At 44.5% G+C, this 17813-nt stretch overlaps 1 protein-coding gene across 18 annotated transcripts in view, besides 2 other annotated features; it reads left to right on the top strand.

The window, feature by feature from the left end:
* CDK5RAP2 (CDK5 regulatory subunit associated protein 2) overlaps nucleotides 1–17813 on the top strand; it is a 191293-nt gene that overhangs the window by 73511 nt on the left and 99969 nt on the right. For all 18 annotated transcript variants that reach the window (NR_073558.2, NR_073556.2, NR_073554.2 and 15 more), the window contains one exon: nucleotides 15180–15350. Coding sequence is in view for 13 of the 18 variants with exons in the window: in NM_001272039.2 (NP_001258968.1) it covers nucleotides 15180–15350 (171 nt within the window). In the remaining 5 variants the exon portion in view is untranslated. The remainder of the gene's footprint in view (nucleotides 1–15179; nucleotides 15351–17813) is intronic.
* Nucleotides 16079–16578: an enhancer, noted in NCBI's record as "H3K27ac hESC enhancer chr9:123252357-123252856 (GRCh37/hg19 assembly coordinates)". NCBI's record gives its function as "activates a minimal SCP1, AML or CMV promoter by ChIP-STARR-seq in primed H9 embryonic stem cells {active_cell/tissue: H9 hESC(primed)}" and the evidence as "EXISTENCE:reporter gene assay evidence [ECO:0000049][PMID:30033119]".
* Nucleotides 16579–17080: an enhancer, noted in NCBI's record as "H3K27ac hESC enhancer chr9:123251855-123252356 (GRCh37/hg19 assembly coordinates)". NCBI's record gives its function as "activates a minimal SCP1, AML or CMV promoter by ChIP-STARR-seq in primed H9 embryonic stem cells {active_cell/tissue: H9 hESC(primed)}" and the evidence as "EXISTENCE:reporter gene assay evidence [ECO:0000049][PMID:30033119]".

Genomic DNA, 17813 nt, shown 5'->3' with positions numbered 1-17813 from the left:
CATCCATGAGGGTTGGAATCAAATTCTTCCAAACTCCTGTAATGTTGGTATTTTGACCCTTCTCATGAATCACAAATGTTCTTAAGGGCATTTAGAATGATGAATCCTTTCCAAAAGGTTTTCCATTTACTTTGCCCAGATCCATCAGAGGAATCACTCTTTACAGATGTATTTTTTAAAGACTTGAAAAGTTAAAATTACTCCTTGATCTGTGGGTTGCGGAATGGATGTTGTGTTAGCAGGCATGAAAACAACATTCATCTTCTTGTACATCTCCATCAGAGCTCTTGGATGACCAGGTGCATTGTCAATGAGCAGTAATATTTTTAAAGGAATCTTTGTTTCTGAACAGTAGGTCTCAACAGTAGGCTTGAAATATTCAGTAAACCATGCCGTAAACAGATGTGCTGTCATTTAGGCTTTGTTGTTCCATTGTAGAGCACAGATAGAGTAGATTTTGCATAATTTTTAAGGAGTTCTGGAATCATAAGTGAGCACTGGCTTCCAGTTAAAGTTACCAGCTGCATTAGCCCCTAATAAGGAAGTCACCCTGTCCTTTGAAGTTTTGAAGCCAGACATTGACTGCTCCTCTTTAGCTATGAAACTCCTAGATGGCATCTTCTTCCAATGTAAGGCTGTTTCATCTGCATTGAAAACCTGTTTAGTGTAGCTACCTCCATCAGTTATCTTAGATCTCTTGGATGACTTACTGCAGCTTCTACATCAGCACTTGTAACTTTACCTTACACTTTTATGTTACTTAGATGACTTATTTCCTTAAACCTCAGGAACCAACCTCTGCTAGCTTCAATTTTTGTTTTTTCTTTTTGCAGCTTCTTCACCTCTCTTAGCTTTCATAGAATTGAAGAGAGTTAAGGCTTTGCTCTGGATTAGACTTTGGCTTAAGGGAATATTGTGACTGGTTTGATCTATTCAGACCACAACTTTCTCCATATCAGCAAGGCTGTTTAGCTTTCTTACCATTCATGTGTTCACTGGAGTAGCACTTTTAATTTCCTTCAAGAATTTTTTCTTTGCATTCACAGTTTGGCTAACTGGTGCAAGAGGCCTAGCTTTTGGCTCTATTGACTTTTGACATGCCTTCCTCACTAAGCTTAATCATTTCTAGCTTTTGATTTAAAAAGTGAGAGACATGTGACTCTTCCTTTCACTTGAATACTTAGAAGCCATTATAGGGTTATTCACTGGCCTAATTTCAATTTTGTTGTATCATAGGGCATAGGGAGGCATGAGGAGAGGGAAGGAGACAGGGAATGGCCAGTTGGTGGAGCTCTTGGAATACACTTTTATCCGTTAAGTTTGCCGTCTTATATGGGTGTGATTTGAGGCACTGCCAAACAACTGGAATAGGAATATCAAAGATCACTGATCACCATAACAGATACTAATAGTGAAAAAGTTTGACATATTGCAAGAATTACCAAAAGGCGACACAGAGACACGAAATGAACACATGCTGTTGGAAAAGTGATGCTGACAGACTTGGTTGATGCAGGGTTGCTGCAGACCTTGAATTTGTAAAATACAAAATCTCTGTGAAGTGCAGTAGAGCAGAGCACAATGAAATGAGCTATGCCTGTACCTGCTTCATAGGGTTGTGAGAGTTGAGTGAGGTGATGGGTAAAGTGCCCAGCACTCTCCTAAATGTCATAGAGTTTATAGAAGAAAATGTTGGGTGGTATTTTATGAGGATGATTGGTGATGGCCTGAGTAATCAAATTGGGCCTTGTGGAAGAGATGGCACTTGAATTGGGCCTTGAAGGATAGCATGCTTTCTCTAGGTGGAACTGGAGGGAATTTGTACTTTTTCCAGGTGGAGGGGACTGGTAGATACAGGCAGAGAGCCTGAAAGTATGTTAATGAAGTGGTTGGATGAAGGGGACTGGTTGCAGATAAAGCTGAAACGTAAGCTGAAGCCCACTAGTAGGAGCCTTGAGTAGACTCCTCGTAGGGTAGCTTCATTCTGCAGTTAACTTGGAGTCAATGAAGGATGCCGAGCAGAGACGTAATGATCAGAGGTCTACATGTGGTTTAGTGGGGTGAACCCAGAAGCAGCAAGACCAGTTAGGAAGCTGTTGCAGCTGACTGGCTGGGAGCTGAGTTCTGAAGAAGGCAGAGGCAGTGGGATGCGGGGTAGGGAGCTGTCTGGCGGGAGGAATACCTTTCTTAGTACTGCAGCTTCTACCCTTCTTCCTTTATAATTAAGGAGGGAGGAGTTACTAATCTGAGTGATGAGAGTTCAGGATATTTTGGGGGCCATTCTTGTTAATGGGTGAGTTATAAGAACCCAAGTTCCAGATTCTTTTGCTTTCCTGCTCCAGATGTAGCCAGGCCTAGTCTTTGCTGGGCAGGCCAACTCCCTCATTTCCTCATCAGTCATCTTTGTGCACTTCTACTTCTACTTGAATAAGAGAACCTGGGCAGCTCCCTAAGCTGCACACACCCTCCCTTTTCCCAAACAGTAACAACATCAACTACCCCAAACCCTTAATTTTATCAGAAAGCACTTATCTGGATATGAAATTGTCACAGAATTGTACTTTGATTCCCCATTCTGCTATTGTTGTGTATAACTCCTTTGAGAACTCTGGGGATAGCAGGAGTGATTGACAGGGTAGGATTTGGACACTCTTGGCCATGAAAAGCACCAAATCCTCGCTTTTCATCTCCCAGGTGCTCTGTGTTGAGGGCGTGCCACACCTTAAGGCCTGGGTTAACTGTTGGATGACAAGATGCCTGTGAGAGGGAGGGGCAAGAGCTGAACCTTGTTGTGGGGTGGTGGTGGTGGTGGTGATGCCATGGCCATGTGAGGAAACCGGGTAGTGAGGATCAGTCTGGGGGTTGTATGTGGGGACAGAGAGAGGTGACACGGCTTCATTTGCTCTGCATTAGCTTCTGTGCTGGGCTCCCATTGTGCATTCTCTCCTCCAGACCTCCAAGGACCCTGGGAGTTTGCATTATTGTCTTCATTTACCGGAAAGGAAACACTCAGAAAGATTTAAGTTATCCATCTCTGGTCACACTGCCAGTTAGCAGTAGAGGCAGGATTCAAGACTAGGGCTGTCTGTTTTCACAGTCCAGGAATATCGAAGGAGGTTTGGAAAAACCACCCAAGATGATCAATTTTCAGTTCTGATTGTTGTACTCAGGCAAGACATGCCATCTCCATGCCTCCCCAAAACATTTATTAGAACCCCACTGGTGGCAAGTGCATGAGCCTGTCTGCTGTCTTTGTGTTGCCATGGCAGCACTCTTCTTCAGGGCCATCTCTGCACACAAACCTGCCCTCCCCCTATGGTCATTTTGCTTTAAACTTTCTTTGACTGCTCTTCATATGAGGTTGAAGGTGCTTGGTTCTGCCCCATTCATTAGAAGGAGGGCCTCAGTCTCAGGCTAGAGAGTCCATCAATCCAAGTCCTTAAGAAATGATAAATTAATTTCAGGTATTGAAATTATTGGCTAGTGGAAGCCTATGTCACAGAGTGGTTTTATGTTTTCTTTAGCCTTAACAATAGCACATTTGGGTGGAAAAAGCACAGAATTTGGGGTCACACTGACTGGGGTTTGGATTTCAGCACTAGAACTTACTAGAGCTTTTGTAAAGCTTTGTGAAAATATCTCAACCTCTGTGGGCCTTAGTTCTCTTTCTGTAAAAACAGGACTAATAATACTTACCATGTAGGCAGTCATTAGGGTTTGAGATGTTTTGTGTAAAAATGCCTTGGCCTGTGTTTGGTTCATAGCTGGTGCTCAGTAAATGGTGGTTTCCATAACTAATGAGTAAAATAAGAGAAGCGGTCTATACTCTTTGGTATCCTAACTTTCCCCAAGGTTCTGTTGATGCTGTGGGCCTTCTACCTGACCCCCGACCGCAAATGTACACGCATACAAATTTGCATAGGATCCCTGGCCCAGTCAATGGACCTTAGGTTAAGAACTCCTAATCTTGGGGAATGACAAAACTACAAATCTTGGGGAATGACAAAACTACATGTCCTTTGTGGAATTCTGTAACAGGTCATTTTCACGTTGTCAACTCTGTTAGGGGATTTGTGGGAGAAATGTGGCACGTTAGTAGCCCTTATTGCTTAAGCCGTGTAAGACGTTCTTAACCTAGGTAGCTGAATTAAAAATTAAAAGGAAATTAAAAGGAGCATGGAATAAATGGTTGCTGAATACACATACATACACTGGAACTTGAACCAGACATCAAAATATGGTTCTGATAGTCGTTTGTATAGAGGAGGAAACTGAATCTCGGAAATGAGGTAAGTGGACCTGTAATTACTGTGCACAGGAAAAGTGCACACTCTTTACTCAGCATGATACGTGAACATTTTTAGAATTAACGGGTGTGCACGATCTTTCTAGGATGACATACACATTTATTGTGAATTTAAAGGTGTACCTAAATGGCTGGCTTAACACAGGTTTTATAGTTATTCTTCACAGCATTTTTCAGGGGAAGATTTCTAAAAGTGAGTATTAGATATACGTTAAGTGGACTGGGATCATTGTGTTAGTGAGTCATGCAAAAGAGATCTAAACCATGGTGTGGAGGCGAACTGAGAAGATTTGGAATGAGAGAGACCTGGAATAAGGCAGGTGCTGTCCCTTGGTGACTGTGATCTTAGGCAAATTACCTGTCTCAGCCTGTTTCCTCATTCATAAAATGGGAGCAGTCCCATCCATCTCATTCCTTAATTTATTCAGTCATCCAACAGATGCTTATTGAGTGCTTTCCTTGATATCTATTGCTGCATAACAAATTACCCCAAAACAACAATCATTTCATTATACCTAATGAGTTTGCGAGCCAAGGACTTGGGCAGGGCATAGCTGGGTATTCTGCTCCATGTGGCCCAGGTTACTCATGGTCTTCAGCTGGTGGATGGGGTGGACTGGAGGGTCCATGATTCTTCACTCATATGTCTGGTACCTTGTCGGGGATGGCTGGAAAGAACAGAAACTGACATAGTGTCACTTCTGCCGTATTCTCATGGTCACAGCAGGTGCTATGCTGCCCAGATTCAATAGGAGGGGACATAGACTCCACACCTCTTGATGGAAGGGAAGTCAAATAATTTATGGCTATGTTTAATCTGCCACAGTGTCTGCTATGTGCCAGGTACCATTCTAGGTGCTGGAGATATAGCAGCAAACAAAATACACAAAATTCCCTGCCCTCATGGAACTTGCATTCTGGTGGGAAAACTGCAAGCAAAATACACATATAAATTAAATACTATATTAGGAGGTTCCATGGGGCAAGTGGTGAAGGGAAGGAATATGGAGAGTAAGGTGGATGGTCAGGGAAGACTGGTCTGAGAAGATGATGGCTGAGCACACACTTGAAGAAAGTAAGGGAGCAACCTGGAGAACTTTCCAGGTAGAGCAGCAGGCTTAAGGGCTCTGACCTGGTGTGTAAGAGGAACGGCAAGACAGCCAGGGTTGCTGGAGCAGAACTGGCTGCGGAGAGCCACAGGAGAAGAGGGCAGCGAGGTCAGGGGGGTCTAGCTGATGGGGGCCTTGTGGGCCATCGTATGTTGTGAAGAGTAAATGCCTCATTATGAAAGTGTCTAGCACCTTGCCTGGAACAATGGTAGGTGCTTGACACACAGTAGCATCTATTATTAATAGAACCCGGATGTGGGAGCTCCCAGGTGTAGGAATTTTCAGGTATGGGAGTTCCCAGGCCCCCCCTTACTCCACTCAGTACCCGTTCTTTAGCCACAGCCGCTCTTCTGGCCCTGGTTGTATTGACTGTTTCTGAGCAGTCACCGGCCAGCAAAACACAATCAGGAAGGCAAAAACATGATGATATCCATTTGAAAGGTGAACCCTCATAATCAGCCTCTTCTCTAATGGCATTAGTATGGTAGCTAGACCTTGCCCTGGTAGATTTTGTAATGTAGGGGGAAAATGAGCTTATGTGTGTATGTTTGTGTATGTACACCTTGGGTGATTCTTGAGAGATCAGCTTTTCATTATGACTCTCCTTGAAACTATTTTCATTCATGGCCCACAAGGACAATTTGCACAAGGAGAAATTCAAACAATAGTCAAATATATAGAAGCATGATTGGCAATCAAAGAATGCAAATTCAAACACTTGTGAAGAACCTTTTTATACCAATTAAATTAGCAAACATTTAAGAAAATATCAGTGCTGGTGAGGATGTGGTGCAACAAAAAACTCCCACTTGGTGATTGCATTTTTGCCACTGTGTTTTTGGAAGGAAGTTTGTCACATTGTAGAAAGAATTCTGAAAACATGCTTACCCTTAGGCCTAGTAATTCTACTTTTGGGGATTTAGCCTAAGAAAACAAATCAGAAGTTAGAAAAAAAAAACTTGTTTTATGCTCACAGCTCTTCCTTTTTGTATTTTCTGTACTAGCAAACAGTTGGTGACAGTGGGAAAGTAGTTAAGTGACCTAAGAGATATGCATTAAAATTGGTCAGCATAACGATCATGTGGTATCTTTCACTTTAGGCACTGCCTCGCCACCTGTCCCGCCTTTCCTTTAGACTAAAAGGATGAGCAGAGCCAAGTTGGAAGCTCCGTATTATAGCAGCTCTCTAGACCATTCTCATCTCTGTACTTTAAATGAAACAAAACAAAAAACTTTTCTTGACTTTATTCTCTTAAACTTTTCTTTTTGTTTAATTGTTCTTTTATGTTATCATTAATTAATTGCTCTATGCTCTTTGTAGGCCATATAGTATAATGGAGTAAAGTGAAATGGGGTAAAGTCCATACCAAACTTAAAAACTGTATAAAAATTAGGGCTGCAGATGGACAAGAACTGAAAGGAGCACCTACTGTTTGAAAATGGTTTAATATATTGCCATGACTGTATTTTGGGGGAATGTTTTTGTTCTTTAGCTTTAGAATTCTGTTAATGTTGCTTTAGTATCATTTGTATAATAATATAAAAAACCCTTTCTTTCCTTCTCCAGAATTGAATTTCTATTTACTGCCATTTATAATTCATGATAGGTTCTTGGTCTGGCTGTTTGGAGTAAAGGTTTAGGGCAATCTCATCATCATCTTTTTGCCCAAGAAAAAAATTAACAATTTTTAAAGCATTTAAAAAAATGTTACTTTACCAATTATGAATGTAGTGTCTGCTTAGTGTGAAATATTTTAAAATTAAGAAAAGAATAACACAATTAAAAAAATCATCTATAATCATGTGTTCTGATACTTCTTGCAGGTTTCTAATAAGTACCTTTAAAAAAAAAACCCCTGCTCATTATGGAAAATTCAAATACCCACAAAAGGAGAGAGAATAGTACATTGAACCCCTATGTGTTTGTCTCCCAGCATTAGCCATCACAAACTGAGAGCTAATCTTGTGTCATCTCTGCCCTCCCCCTCACTCCCTCCTTTTCAACACTGAATTATTTTAAGCAATTCCCAGACATACTACTTTATCAGTATTTCAGTATGCTTTAAAAAGTACCATTTTCACATTAAAAAGGGTAGTAATCTCTTAAAATTACCAAATAACCAATAAATGTTTAGATTTCCCTGATTGTCTCATTAAAAACAATTGTTTGAAATAATTTGTTTAAATCATGATCCAAGGATGGGAGTGGTGGCTCATGCCTGTAATCCCAGCACTTTGGGAGACTGAGATGGGAGGATTGCTTAAGCCCAGGAATTTGAGATAAACTTGGACAACTTAGTAAGACCTTGTCTCTAAAAAAAGATAAATCATGATCCAAACAAGGTATATACATTGCATTTTATTTACTTATTTATTTATTTATTTTAGAGATGGGGTGTTGCCATGTTGCCCAGGCTGGTGTCAAATTCCTGGGCTCAAGTGATCCTCCTGCCTTGGGCTTCCAAAGTGTTGGTATTACAGGCGTGAGTCACCACACCCGTTGATATATATATATATATATATTTAAAGCCTTTTTATTTTGAAATAATTTTAAACATACAGGAAAGGTGCAAAAACAATATAGCGAGTTCCCATATATCCCCTAGTGTTAACATTTTGCATTACTGTGGCATACTTACCAGTATCAGGAAATTAACATTGATGCAACATTATGAACTAATCTACAGACTCTATTTGAATTCTGCCAGTTTTCCCATGAGTGACCCTTTTCGGGTTCAGGATCTCATGAAGGATCCACATTGAATTGTCATGTCTGCTTAGTCTTGGCTAATCTGGAACAGTTGCTCAGCTTTTGTCTTTTATGACCTTGACTGGTTTGAAGAGGACTGGTCAGTTATTTTGTGAAATGTTCTTAAATTTGGGCTTGTCTGGTGTTTCTCTTATGTTGGGGTGATCAGACCCAACACCAGGTCGTGGGGGCAATGAAGTCCGTCGGAGTCAAAGGAATGAGAAAAGACAGTTTGAGAGAGAAAGTGGCACTAGGGGGCCATCGCTAAGTATGGAGGCTGGGAAGGCCTGGAGCTCTGGAAGCCCAGACTATTTATTGGTGATCAAACAAAGAAACAGGTGGTGAGAATATGGGAAAGGGCAAGCACGTGATCCACAGCTGTGACAGTTTAGCATTTCCTTTGCGGCATATGGAACATGTTCTGCTACTTGAGATAACGGAGAGCAGGTTCTTTTAACTCAAGATACAATCCATCCTGGGAGAGCAAGGAGCCAGCAAGACTAGACACATCCTAGAGCTACAAGGGATTTTATGCCTTGAGCCCTGGATTCTATCCAAGCCACGAGGGGTTTTATGCCCTGGGCTTAGATTATGGTGCATCAGGGTAGCCTTCCACCCTTTAGCACAGAGCTTGGTGTTCCAAAGGCCACAGGGGTTTTAGACCCTGAACCCCGGACATGTTCCAAGACTCTTTTACATTATGTCAGATATCAAGCCCTGCCTCAGCTTCTCCCAACACTCAGCTTTTCTCCCAACACTCTCATGATTAGATTGAGGTTATGTGTTTTTGGCAAGAATAGCATGGAAGTGATGTGCTCTTCTTAGTGTATTGTATTTGGAGGTGCGTAATGTCAGTCTGTCATTATTGATGAGGTTAGTGCTAGTCACTTGGTTAAAGTGGAATCTTCTGGGTTTCTTCACTATAAAGTCACTATTTTATTCCCTTTATAATTAATTTTGTGGGGAGATCTTTTGAGACTATATGAATATCCTGCTTCTCGTCATACTTTGAAGAATTCTAGCATCCATTGATGATTCTTTTTTTTTTTTTTTTTTTTTTTTTTTTTTTTTAAATTTATTTTTTTATTGATAATTCTTGGGTGTTTCTCACAGAGGGGGATTTGGCAGGGTCATGGGACAATAGTGGAGGGAAGGTCAGCAGATAAACAAGTGAACAAAGGTCTCTGGTTTTCCTAGGCAGAGGACCCTGCGGCCTTCCACAGTGTTTGTGTCCCTGATTACTTGAGATTAGGGAGTGGTGGTGACTCTTAACGAGCATGCTGCCTTCAAGCATCTGTTTAACAAAGCACATCTTGCACCGCCCTTAATCCATTCAACCCTGAGTGGACACAGCACATGTTTCAGAGAGCACAGGGTTGGGGGTAAGGTCACAGATCAACAGGATCCCAAGGCAGAGGAATTTTTCTTAGTGCAGAACAAAATGAAAAGTCTCCCATGTCTACTTCTTTCTACACAGACACGGCAACCATCCGATTTCTCAATCTTTTCCCCACCTTTCCCGCCTTTCCATTCCACAAAGCCGCCATTGTCATCCTGGCCCGTTCTCAATGAGCTGTTGGGCACACCTCCCAGACAGGGTGGTGGCCGGGCAGAGGGGCTCCCCACCTCCCAGTAGGGGCGGCCGGGCAGAGGCGCCCCTCACCTCCCGGACGGGGCGGCTGGCCGGGCAGGGGGGCTGACCCCCCCCACCTCCCTCCTGGACGGGGCGGCTGGCCGGGCGGGGGGCTGACCCCCCAACCTCCCTCCCGAACGGGGCGGCTGGCCGGGCAGGGGGCTGACCCCCCCACCTCCCTCCCGGACGGGGCGGCTGGCCGGGCAGAGGGGCTCCTCACTTCCCAGTAGGGGCGGCCGGGCAGAGGCGCCCCTCACCTCCCGGACGGGGCGGCTGGCCGGACGGGGGGCCGACCCCCCCACCTCCCTCCCGGACGGGGCGGCTGGCCGGGCGGGGGGCCGACCCCCCCACCTCCCTCCCGGACGGGGCGGCTGGCCGGGCAGAGGGGCTCCTCACTTCCCAGTAGGGGCGGCCGGGCAGAGGCGCCCCTCACCTCCCGGACAGGGCGGCTGGCTGGGCGGGGGGGCTGACCCCCCCCCCACCTCCCTCCCGGACGGGGCGGCTGGCCGGGCGGGGGGCTGACCCCCCCACCTCCCTCCCGGACGGGGCGGCTGGCCGGGCAGAGGGGCTCCTCACTTCCCAGTAGGGGCGGCCGGGCAGAGGCGCCCCTCACCTCCCAGACGGGGCGGCTGGCCGGGCGGAGGGCTGACCCCCCCACCTCCCTCCCGGACAGGGCGGCTGGCCGGGCGGGGGGCTGACCCCCCCACCTCCCTCCCGGACGGGGCGGCTGGCCGGGCAGAGGGGCTCCTCACTTCCCAGTAGGGGCGGCTGGGCAGAGGCGCCCCTCACCTCCCAGACGGGGCGGCTGGCCGGGCGGAGGGCTGACCCCCCCACCTCCCTCCCGGACGGGGCGGCTGGCCAGGCGGGGGGCTGACCCCCCTACCTCCCTACCGGACGGGGCGGCTGGCCGGGTGGGGGGGCTGACCCCCCCATCTCCCTCCCGGACGGGGTGGCTGGCCGGGCTGAGGGGCTCCTCACTTCCCAGTAGGGGCGGCCGGGCAGAGGCGCCCCTCACCTCCCGGACGGGGCGGCTGGCCGGGCGGGGGGCTGACCCCCCCACCTCCCTCCCGGATGGCACGGCTGGCCAGGCGGGGGGCTGACCCCCCCACCTCCCTCCCGGATGGCACGGCTGGCCGGGCGGGGGGGCTGACCCCCCACCTCCCTCCCGGATGGGGCGGCTGGCCGGGCGGGGGGCTGACCCCCCCCCACCTCCCTCCCGGACGGGGTGGCTGCCGGGCGGAGACGCTCCTCACTTCCCAGATGGGGTGGCTGCCGGGCGGAGAGGCTCCTCACTTCTCAGATGGGGCAGCTGCCGGGCGGAGGGGCTCCTCACTTCTCAGACGGGGTGGTTGCCAGGCAGAGGGTCTCCTCACTTCTCAGACGGGGCGGCCGGGCAGAGACGCTCCTCACCTCCCAGACGGGGTCTCGGCCGGGCAGAGGCGCTCCTCACATCCCAGATGGGGCGGCGGGGCAGAGGCGCTCCCCACATCTCAGACGATGGGCGGCCGGGCAGAGACGCTCCTCACTTCCTAGATGTGATGGCGGCTGGGAAGAGGCGCTCCTCACTTCCTAGATGGGATGGCGGCCGGGCGGAGACGCTCCTCACTTTCCAGACTGGGCAGCCAGGCAGAGGGGCTCCTCACATCCCAGACGATGGGCGGCCAGGCAGAGACACTCCTCACTTCCCAGACGGGGTGGCAGCCGGGCAGAGGCTGCAATCTCGGCACTTTGGGAGGCCAAGGCAGGCGGCTGCTCCTTGCCCTCGGGCCCCGCGGGGCCCGTCCGCTCCTCCAGCCGCTGCCTCCCGGGCGGCGCTCGCCGGCGCGGCGGCAAAGACTGAGACAGCTCCGCTGCCCGCTGAACTCCATCCTCCCGGCGGTCGGGCGGCGGCGGCTGCGGTCGGTCGCGGCAGCGGCTCCGCTTCATATCTGCAGCTGGGGCCCGCGGGCGTCAGCGCCGCGACTGTCCTGGCTCCGCACTGCCCCGGGCCGCAGCGCAGCCGCGCCAACCACCAGCCGCGGCCACCATGGCCAGACGGGCTCCCTAAGCCACCGACCCCAGCCCGCGGCGCCTTCGACCCTTCTGGGGCCTCCGGCGCCGCCTGATGATTCTTACCTGCAACAGTTATTACTGTGGTGTTTACCTAGTTGTTATTTTCTTTTTCTATCTTTCCTTCTATTCTTATTAGTTGTATTATGTCTACCATGAGGAAGAGCTGTCCTCTTCCTCCTCCTGCATTTGTTTATTAGTTATTTGTTTCTATCAGTATGGACTTGCAGATACTGTTTTACTCTATAAGTTATAAGCCATTACTATCATTATTTATTTTATTGTTCAGATTGACCCAGACTTGGCCATTGGGAGCTCCTTCAAATTGATTCCTGTGCCTTTTCAACATGACTCCTCATTTTTTGAGCAATTCCTTGCTTTCTAGGAGCACAAGATCTCCTAGGCTCATTTCGTATTATGTTTTCCCTGCTCCAGGTCTGGAATCAAGTATTTGCCCAAGAAACACTGGTTTCTTTTATTGGAAAATGATATTTAGAAACCAAGATGTGAATGATAGGTATCCTCATTACTACTGGAGTGTTATTGCCTCTAGGATTTGTCAGTGTACAGAGCTGAAATATGTGTATTGACACATGCATACAAACATGTATATTTATATTTCTATGTCTTTCCAATTCTCTGTGTGTGTGTGTGATCATGAATTCAGACTGATAGCAGAGTTCATTCTCCCCTTCCTTTACTTTTTTTTTTTTTTTTTTTAAACTGAGTCTTGCTGTACTGCCCAGGCTGGAGTGCAGTGGTGCCATCTTGGCTCACTGCAACCTCTGCCTCTCGGATTCAAGTGATTCTCCTGCCTCAGCCTCCTTAGTAGCTGGGATTATTGGCATGTGCCACCATGCCCTGCTCATTTTTGTATTTTTCATGGAGACAGAGTTTCGCCATGTTGGCCAAGCTGGTCTCAAACTCCTGACCTCAAGCGATCTGCCTGCCTCGGTCTCCCAAAGTGCTGAGATGACAGGCTAACTTTTAAACTTATTGTTTAATAAGTAAGCAGGTTCTCCCTCCTTTTTTTACCCCATGTAATTTGTTTGTTGAATATGTTGGGTTGTTTGTTCTTTAGAGTTTTTCACATTATGGATTTTGCTGACTGTTTCTGTAATGTCATTTGACTTATTTCTCTGTTGACTGTTTCTGGTAAACAGTCTAACTACCATCTAAAGTGGTAGTTTAGATAAGATGCATGGTCAAATTCAGGTTAAATTTTTTGGCAATGTTACATCATAAATGGTCATTTGTACTTTCAAATATTTGATAGTCCCTCTTTTTGTGATGTTACTAGCTATTGATCATTTGCAAATGGTGATAATTTGATTTCATTATTCCTTCTTTTATAGCTGAATACGTCTATAAAGAGAAACTTGGTTTTTCATCACCTATTTAGTTACCCTGAGGTGCAGCTCATACAGGAAAGTGAAAACAAGTTCCCTAGAATCCTCCAATGGTGGCTGTATTATTAGCTTCTATTGCTGCTGCAACAAATTACCACAAACTTGGTGGCTTAACAATACAAATCTATTATCTTGCAATTCTAGAAGTCAGAAGTCTCAAATGGGTCCCACTGGACTAAAATCAAGGTGTCGGCAGGGCTGCATTCCTCCTGAAGGCTCTAGAGGAGAGTCAGTTCCTTGCCTTTTCCAGCTCCTAGAGCCTACCTGATTTCTTGGTCTGAGTCCCCTTTCCATCCTCAGAACCAGTGATATATTTGCATATATGCAGGTGATACTGATTATGCTGTTCTAGGGACTATACTTTAGAACCACTGCTTTGAAGAACCCTGATCTTTTTTATAGGAAAAGGCGTTTAGAGACTATAGTCTGGATACCAGGGAGGACACCAATTCTAGGCTTTTTTAGTGAAAGAAAGGAAACGACAGAAAATAGAAGTTCATATTGATATTTCAAATTCAAATTTAGAGTGACAAGTTTTAACTTCTTCTATGTTTGTATTTCTTTTCTACTTAAAGTTTTGGGTTTTATGACAATAATTGTTTAATAAATATATATGTTATATATACTCACACAGTTTCAGAATAACATTACCAATATCATTACTTATAACATGATTACTAAAAACAGTTTAAGATTTTTTTACAACCTCTTTTGTACTTAGAGAAATATCCCACTAGGGATGTACAAATTATTCTGCTTCAAAGTTATTGGAACAATTTCTGTCTGTTTGGTTAACCAGTTAACTGGTTACAAAGTTAGATTCATTTGTTTGCTTGCTCTTTTTTCAGTTTTATGGGATTTTTATTTTATTTTTAAGATAATTGTATAAACGTTTAAATGATTGCAACGTCACATCTGTAAAATGAGTTTTAGTTTCTATCTTTGTCCCTTCTACCTTGTTCTCTCTTATACCTTATAGGCAGTCATTTAATTTGTTTTATGGTTAAATAAATGGCAGTATGCTATCCATACTTATTTCTCTTGGGTCTCTGCTGCTGCCACACACACTTAACAAAATATTCTGAAGATTACTTTAGGGCAGTATATTTATAGAGAGAAAGAGTCCTCATTCCTTTTCCTTTATAGCTTAAGAGTGCTCCATTGTGAGAATGTACCATAGTTTATTCCTCTGTTGGTGGACATTTGGATTGTTCACAGCCTTTTGCTATTATGAATAGTGCTTCAGTATTGCAAATAGTACATATTTAAAGGTAGTCACAATCATTCTGTATACGGTTTTTTTTTCCTTTTTCTGTAACATGGGAATAACATGAACTTTTTTTATGTTATTATAAATTCTTTGTAAATGGTATTAAGACAGTTTTTTTCCTGATTATGAAGATAATACAGGATTATTTAGAAATTGTGGAAACTTAGAAAAATAAGTAAAAAAAATGGAAAATTACCCACAATTCCTCTACTTAGATATACTGTTGTTGTTTTGATGTGTTACCTCAGCCTTATGACATTTGTATTAACATTTAGAAAATAATGAGCATCTTATTATCTGTACAGTTTGATACTCTGGTTTGTTTTGACTCATAATTGTGGGTGTGTGTTTTTTAAATACCGTACTCTTTATAATTATTTCTCTGTTGTTGACTGTCTAGTTTCTTTCTGGTTTTCCAGCATTTTAAATAATGTTGTGATAAATATCTGTTCATAAATCTTTTGCCAAATTTCAGATTATTCTTATAGTGGTTTTTGTAAGATTTTAAGTGAGAAGGATTTAAATATACACTTGTATACTCCCTTAAATACATCTATTATCTTGCTCTCTTGTAGCAGTAATTTAGCAAGTCAAACACATAAGAGATTGAAATTTTTGTCAAGTAAATTCCATTTTTTCATTTTCTTCTGGTAGGATCTTAGAAATGAAGTTGAAAAATTACGCAATGAAGTGAATGAAAGAGAGAAAGCAATGGAAAATCGTTACAAGAGTCTTCTGAGTGAAAGCAATAAAAAATTGCACAATCAAGAGCAAGTGATCAAACATCTAACAGAAAGTACCAATCAGAAGGACGTGTTGCTTCAGGTACTGTAACTTTTGTATTTAAATTTTTTAATTTGGCATGGGTTGATTTTTTTAAAAAATAATTCTTTTGCAGAAATATTTATGATTACAGTAATCATTGCTATGTTTCAGAATACTTTAGAGCTTTAATTATGTCATTTGGGCTTCAGCCACCAGGGAGGTAAGTGTGGTGAAACAGAAACTCAGAGAAGGGAAGAAACATATCCTGGGTCATATGACGACTAAATAGCAGAGCCTGGATTCACACTCTGGCTTGTTTTGCCCTAGTGCTCAGGCCACTTCACTGAGGTTCTTCTACTGCAAATACTTCCTGTTACTTATTTATACCATGCTCTTTCATTCCCCTGTACTTTTTCTCTAACTGTTCCTTTTTCTTTAGGAGTACCCTTCTTGTTTGATCATGTCGTGAGTTTTTGAAATTCACCTCAGACTTACAGATAACCATGATGGAGTAAACATAGGCATTTAACTCTGCTTCCTACAGAAACCTCATTAAAATAACAATGAAAGAATAAAAAGGTATAAACCCACAGGGACTAACTAGGAGAATAGAAGCAGGTATAATAGCAAGTGTGAGTTGTCAACAGAATTTTGGATAAGTGTGGCTTGTAGACGAAAGAGGTAAAAAGAAAAAAACAAAGAAAAAAAAATTTGGCTAAGTGGATGGGCAAGTGTTAAGGGCATAGGATTCAGCTTTCTCCACACAGCTACATGCCTTTGGGACAAAAAGCCAACAAGAAGCAAGCTGGTTTATGCTGCAGAACCCCAGAAAGGCATAGCATGCATTGGCTATACCTGGTAACTTTAAAAATGGGAGACTGGCTGTAATTCTAAGCAGTTAGAGGTGACACTCTCCTCACCAGCAGGAGATCTCTGGAGACCTTAAACCAGAGAATCTCTGGCCATGGGGTCACCAGATGTAACTGAAAGCAGGAGTGACCACTTAAGTGAAAACAGGGAGGGAGTGGAAGTGTGCATGCCCAGCAGTGAGATGCCTCAGAGAGGAGAAACAACTGAAAAATGCTGACAATTGGGGGTCCTCCAGCAAAATACCTGGGCCTCTACCTGCGCACCTCACTGTGAGGCCACCTTTGACAGGTCCTTTCCACACTCTCAGAGCTGCTGAGCACTTCTAACCCCTAAAAGTAGGTGGATGGCCTGAGTTTATCAAATAGGAGAAAAGAATTTAGGAGGAAAGATGGCCTGGCGTGGTGGCTCACGCCTGAAATTCCAGCACTTTGGGAGGCTGAGGTGGGCGGATAACCCGAGGTCGGGAGTTTGAGACCAGCCTGACCAACATGGAGAAACTCCGTCTCTACTAAAAATACAGAATTAGCCAGGTGTGGTGGTGCATGCCTGTAATCCCAGCTACTCGGGAGGCTGAGGCAGGAGAATCGCTTGAACCCGGGAGGCAGAGGTTGCGGTGAGCCGAGATTGTGCCACTGCACTCCAGCTTGGGCAACAAGAGTGAAACTCCTTCTCAAAAAAAAAAAAAAAGGAAAGACAAAGACAAAGGCCAAACAGAACAGAGGTACATAGAGGAAATAGAAACATGCAAGGAGGAGAAAACAAGACAGCTTTTAAAAATCCAAACATTTCAGGGCTATAACTCCTTTGGATAAGGCTCTGACAAAAAAGATATTTGGAAAAGAAGACCTATTGGAATTTGAAAGTAGGACTGCAAATATAAAAAAGTTTAAAAGAAGAGTAAGAAAAGTTGGAAGATAAAGTTGAGTAAGTCTTTCAGAAAATAGAACTAAACAAATAAAAAGATGAGAAAATGGGAGAGAAAATTAAGAAAACTAGAGGCTTGATACAAGAGGTCCAAAATATGACTAATAGGAGTTCCAGAAAGACAGGCAAAACAGAGGAAAGGAAGTTTTCAAAGTAATAGGAGAAAATTCCCCAGAATGGAAGGACAACTATTTCTACATTGAAAGGGCCTGCTATGTTTCTAGCACAAAGAATGAGAAAAGACCCATACCCCATGGTGTGTCATTTTGAAATTTTAGAACAGAGGGATAAAGAGAGGACCTGAAAGGCTTCCACAGAGAGGAGAATACAGGTCACATACAAAGAACCCACACTTGGAATGACATCGGAATTCTCAGCAGCAACATTGGAAACCAGAAGATGGAAGAGCAATGCTTTCAGATTTGGAGGAAAAGTGATTTCCAATTCAGCGTTCTGTACTCAGCCAAGCTGTCAGCAAGTGTGAGGGCAGAATAAAGGCATTTTCAGACATTTGGTGCCTACAGTCATTTGCCTCCTATGTACTCTTGCTGGAAGCTCTCGTAGGATGATTCCATATGTATAAAGGAATCACCAAATGGGAGAGAATAACCGAAAGAGAGAGACATGGGTTCCACAAAGTAGGGAATTCACATGGCATGTGGTGAAGGGAAGTCCTGGGATGAGAGCTGAGCTGCTTAGGTAGAAAGCCCAGATTTGAACTCTTGAGGA

This window comes from Homo sapiens, chromosome 9, assembly GCF_000001405.40.
Source record: "Homo sapiens chromosome 9, GRCh38.p14 Primary Assembly".
In the NCBI taxonomy this organism is placed as follows: Eukaryota; Metazoa; Chordata; class Mammalia; order Primates; family Hominidae; genus Homo; species Homo sapiens.
Note: the sequence above shows the minus strand (reverse complement) of the source record. Positions and strands in the feature narration are given on the sequence as shown.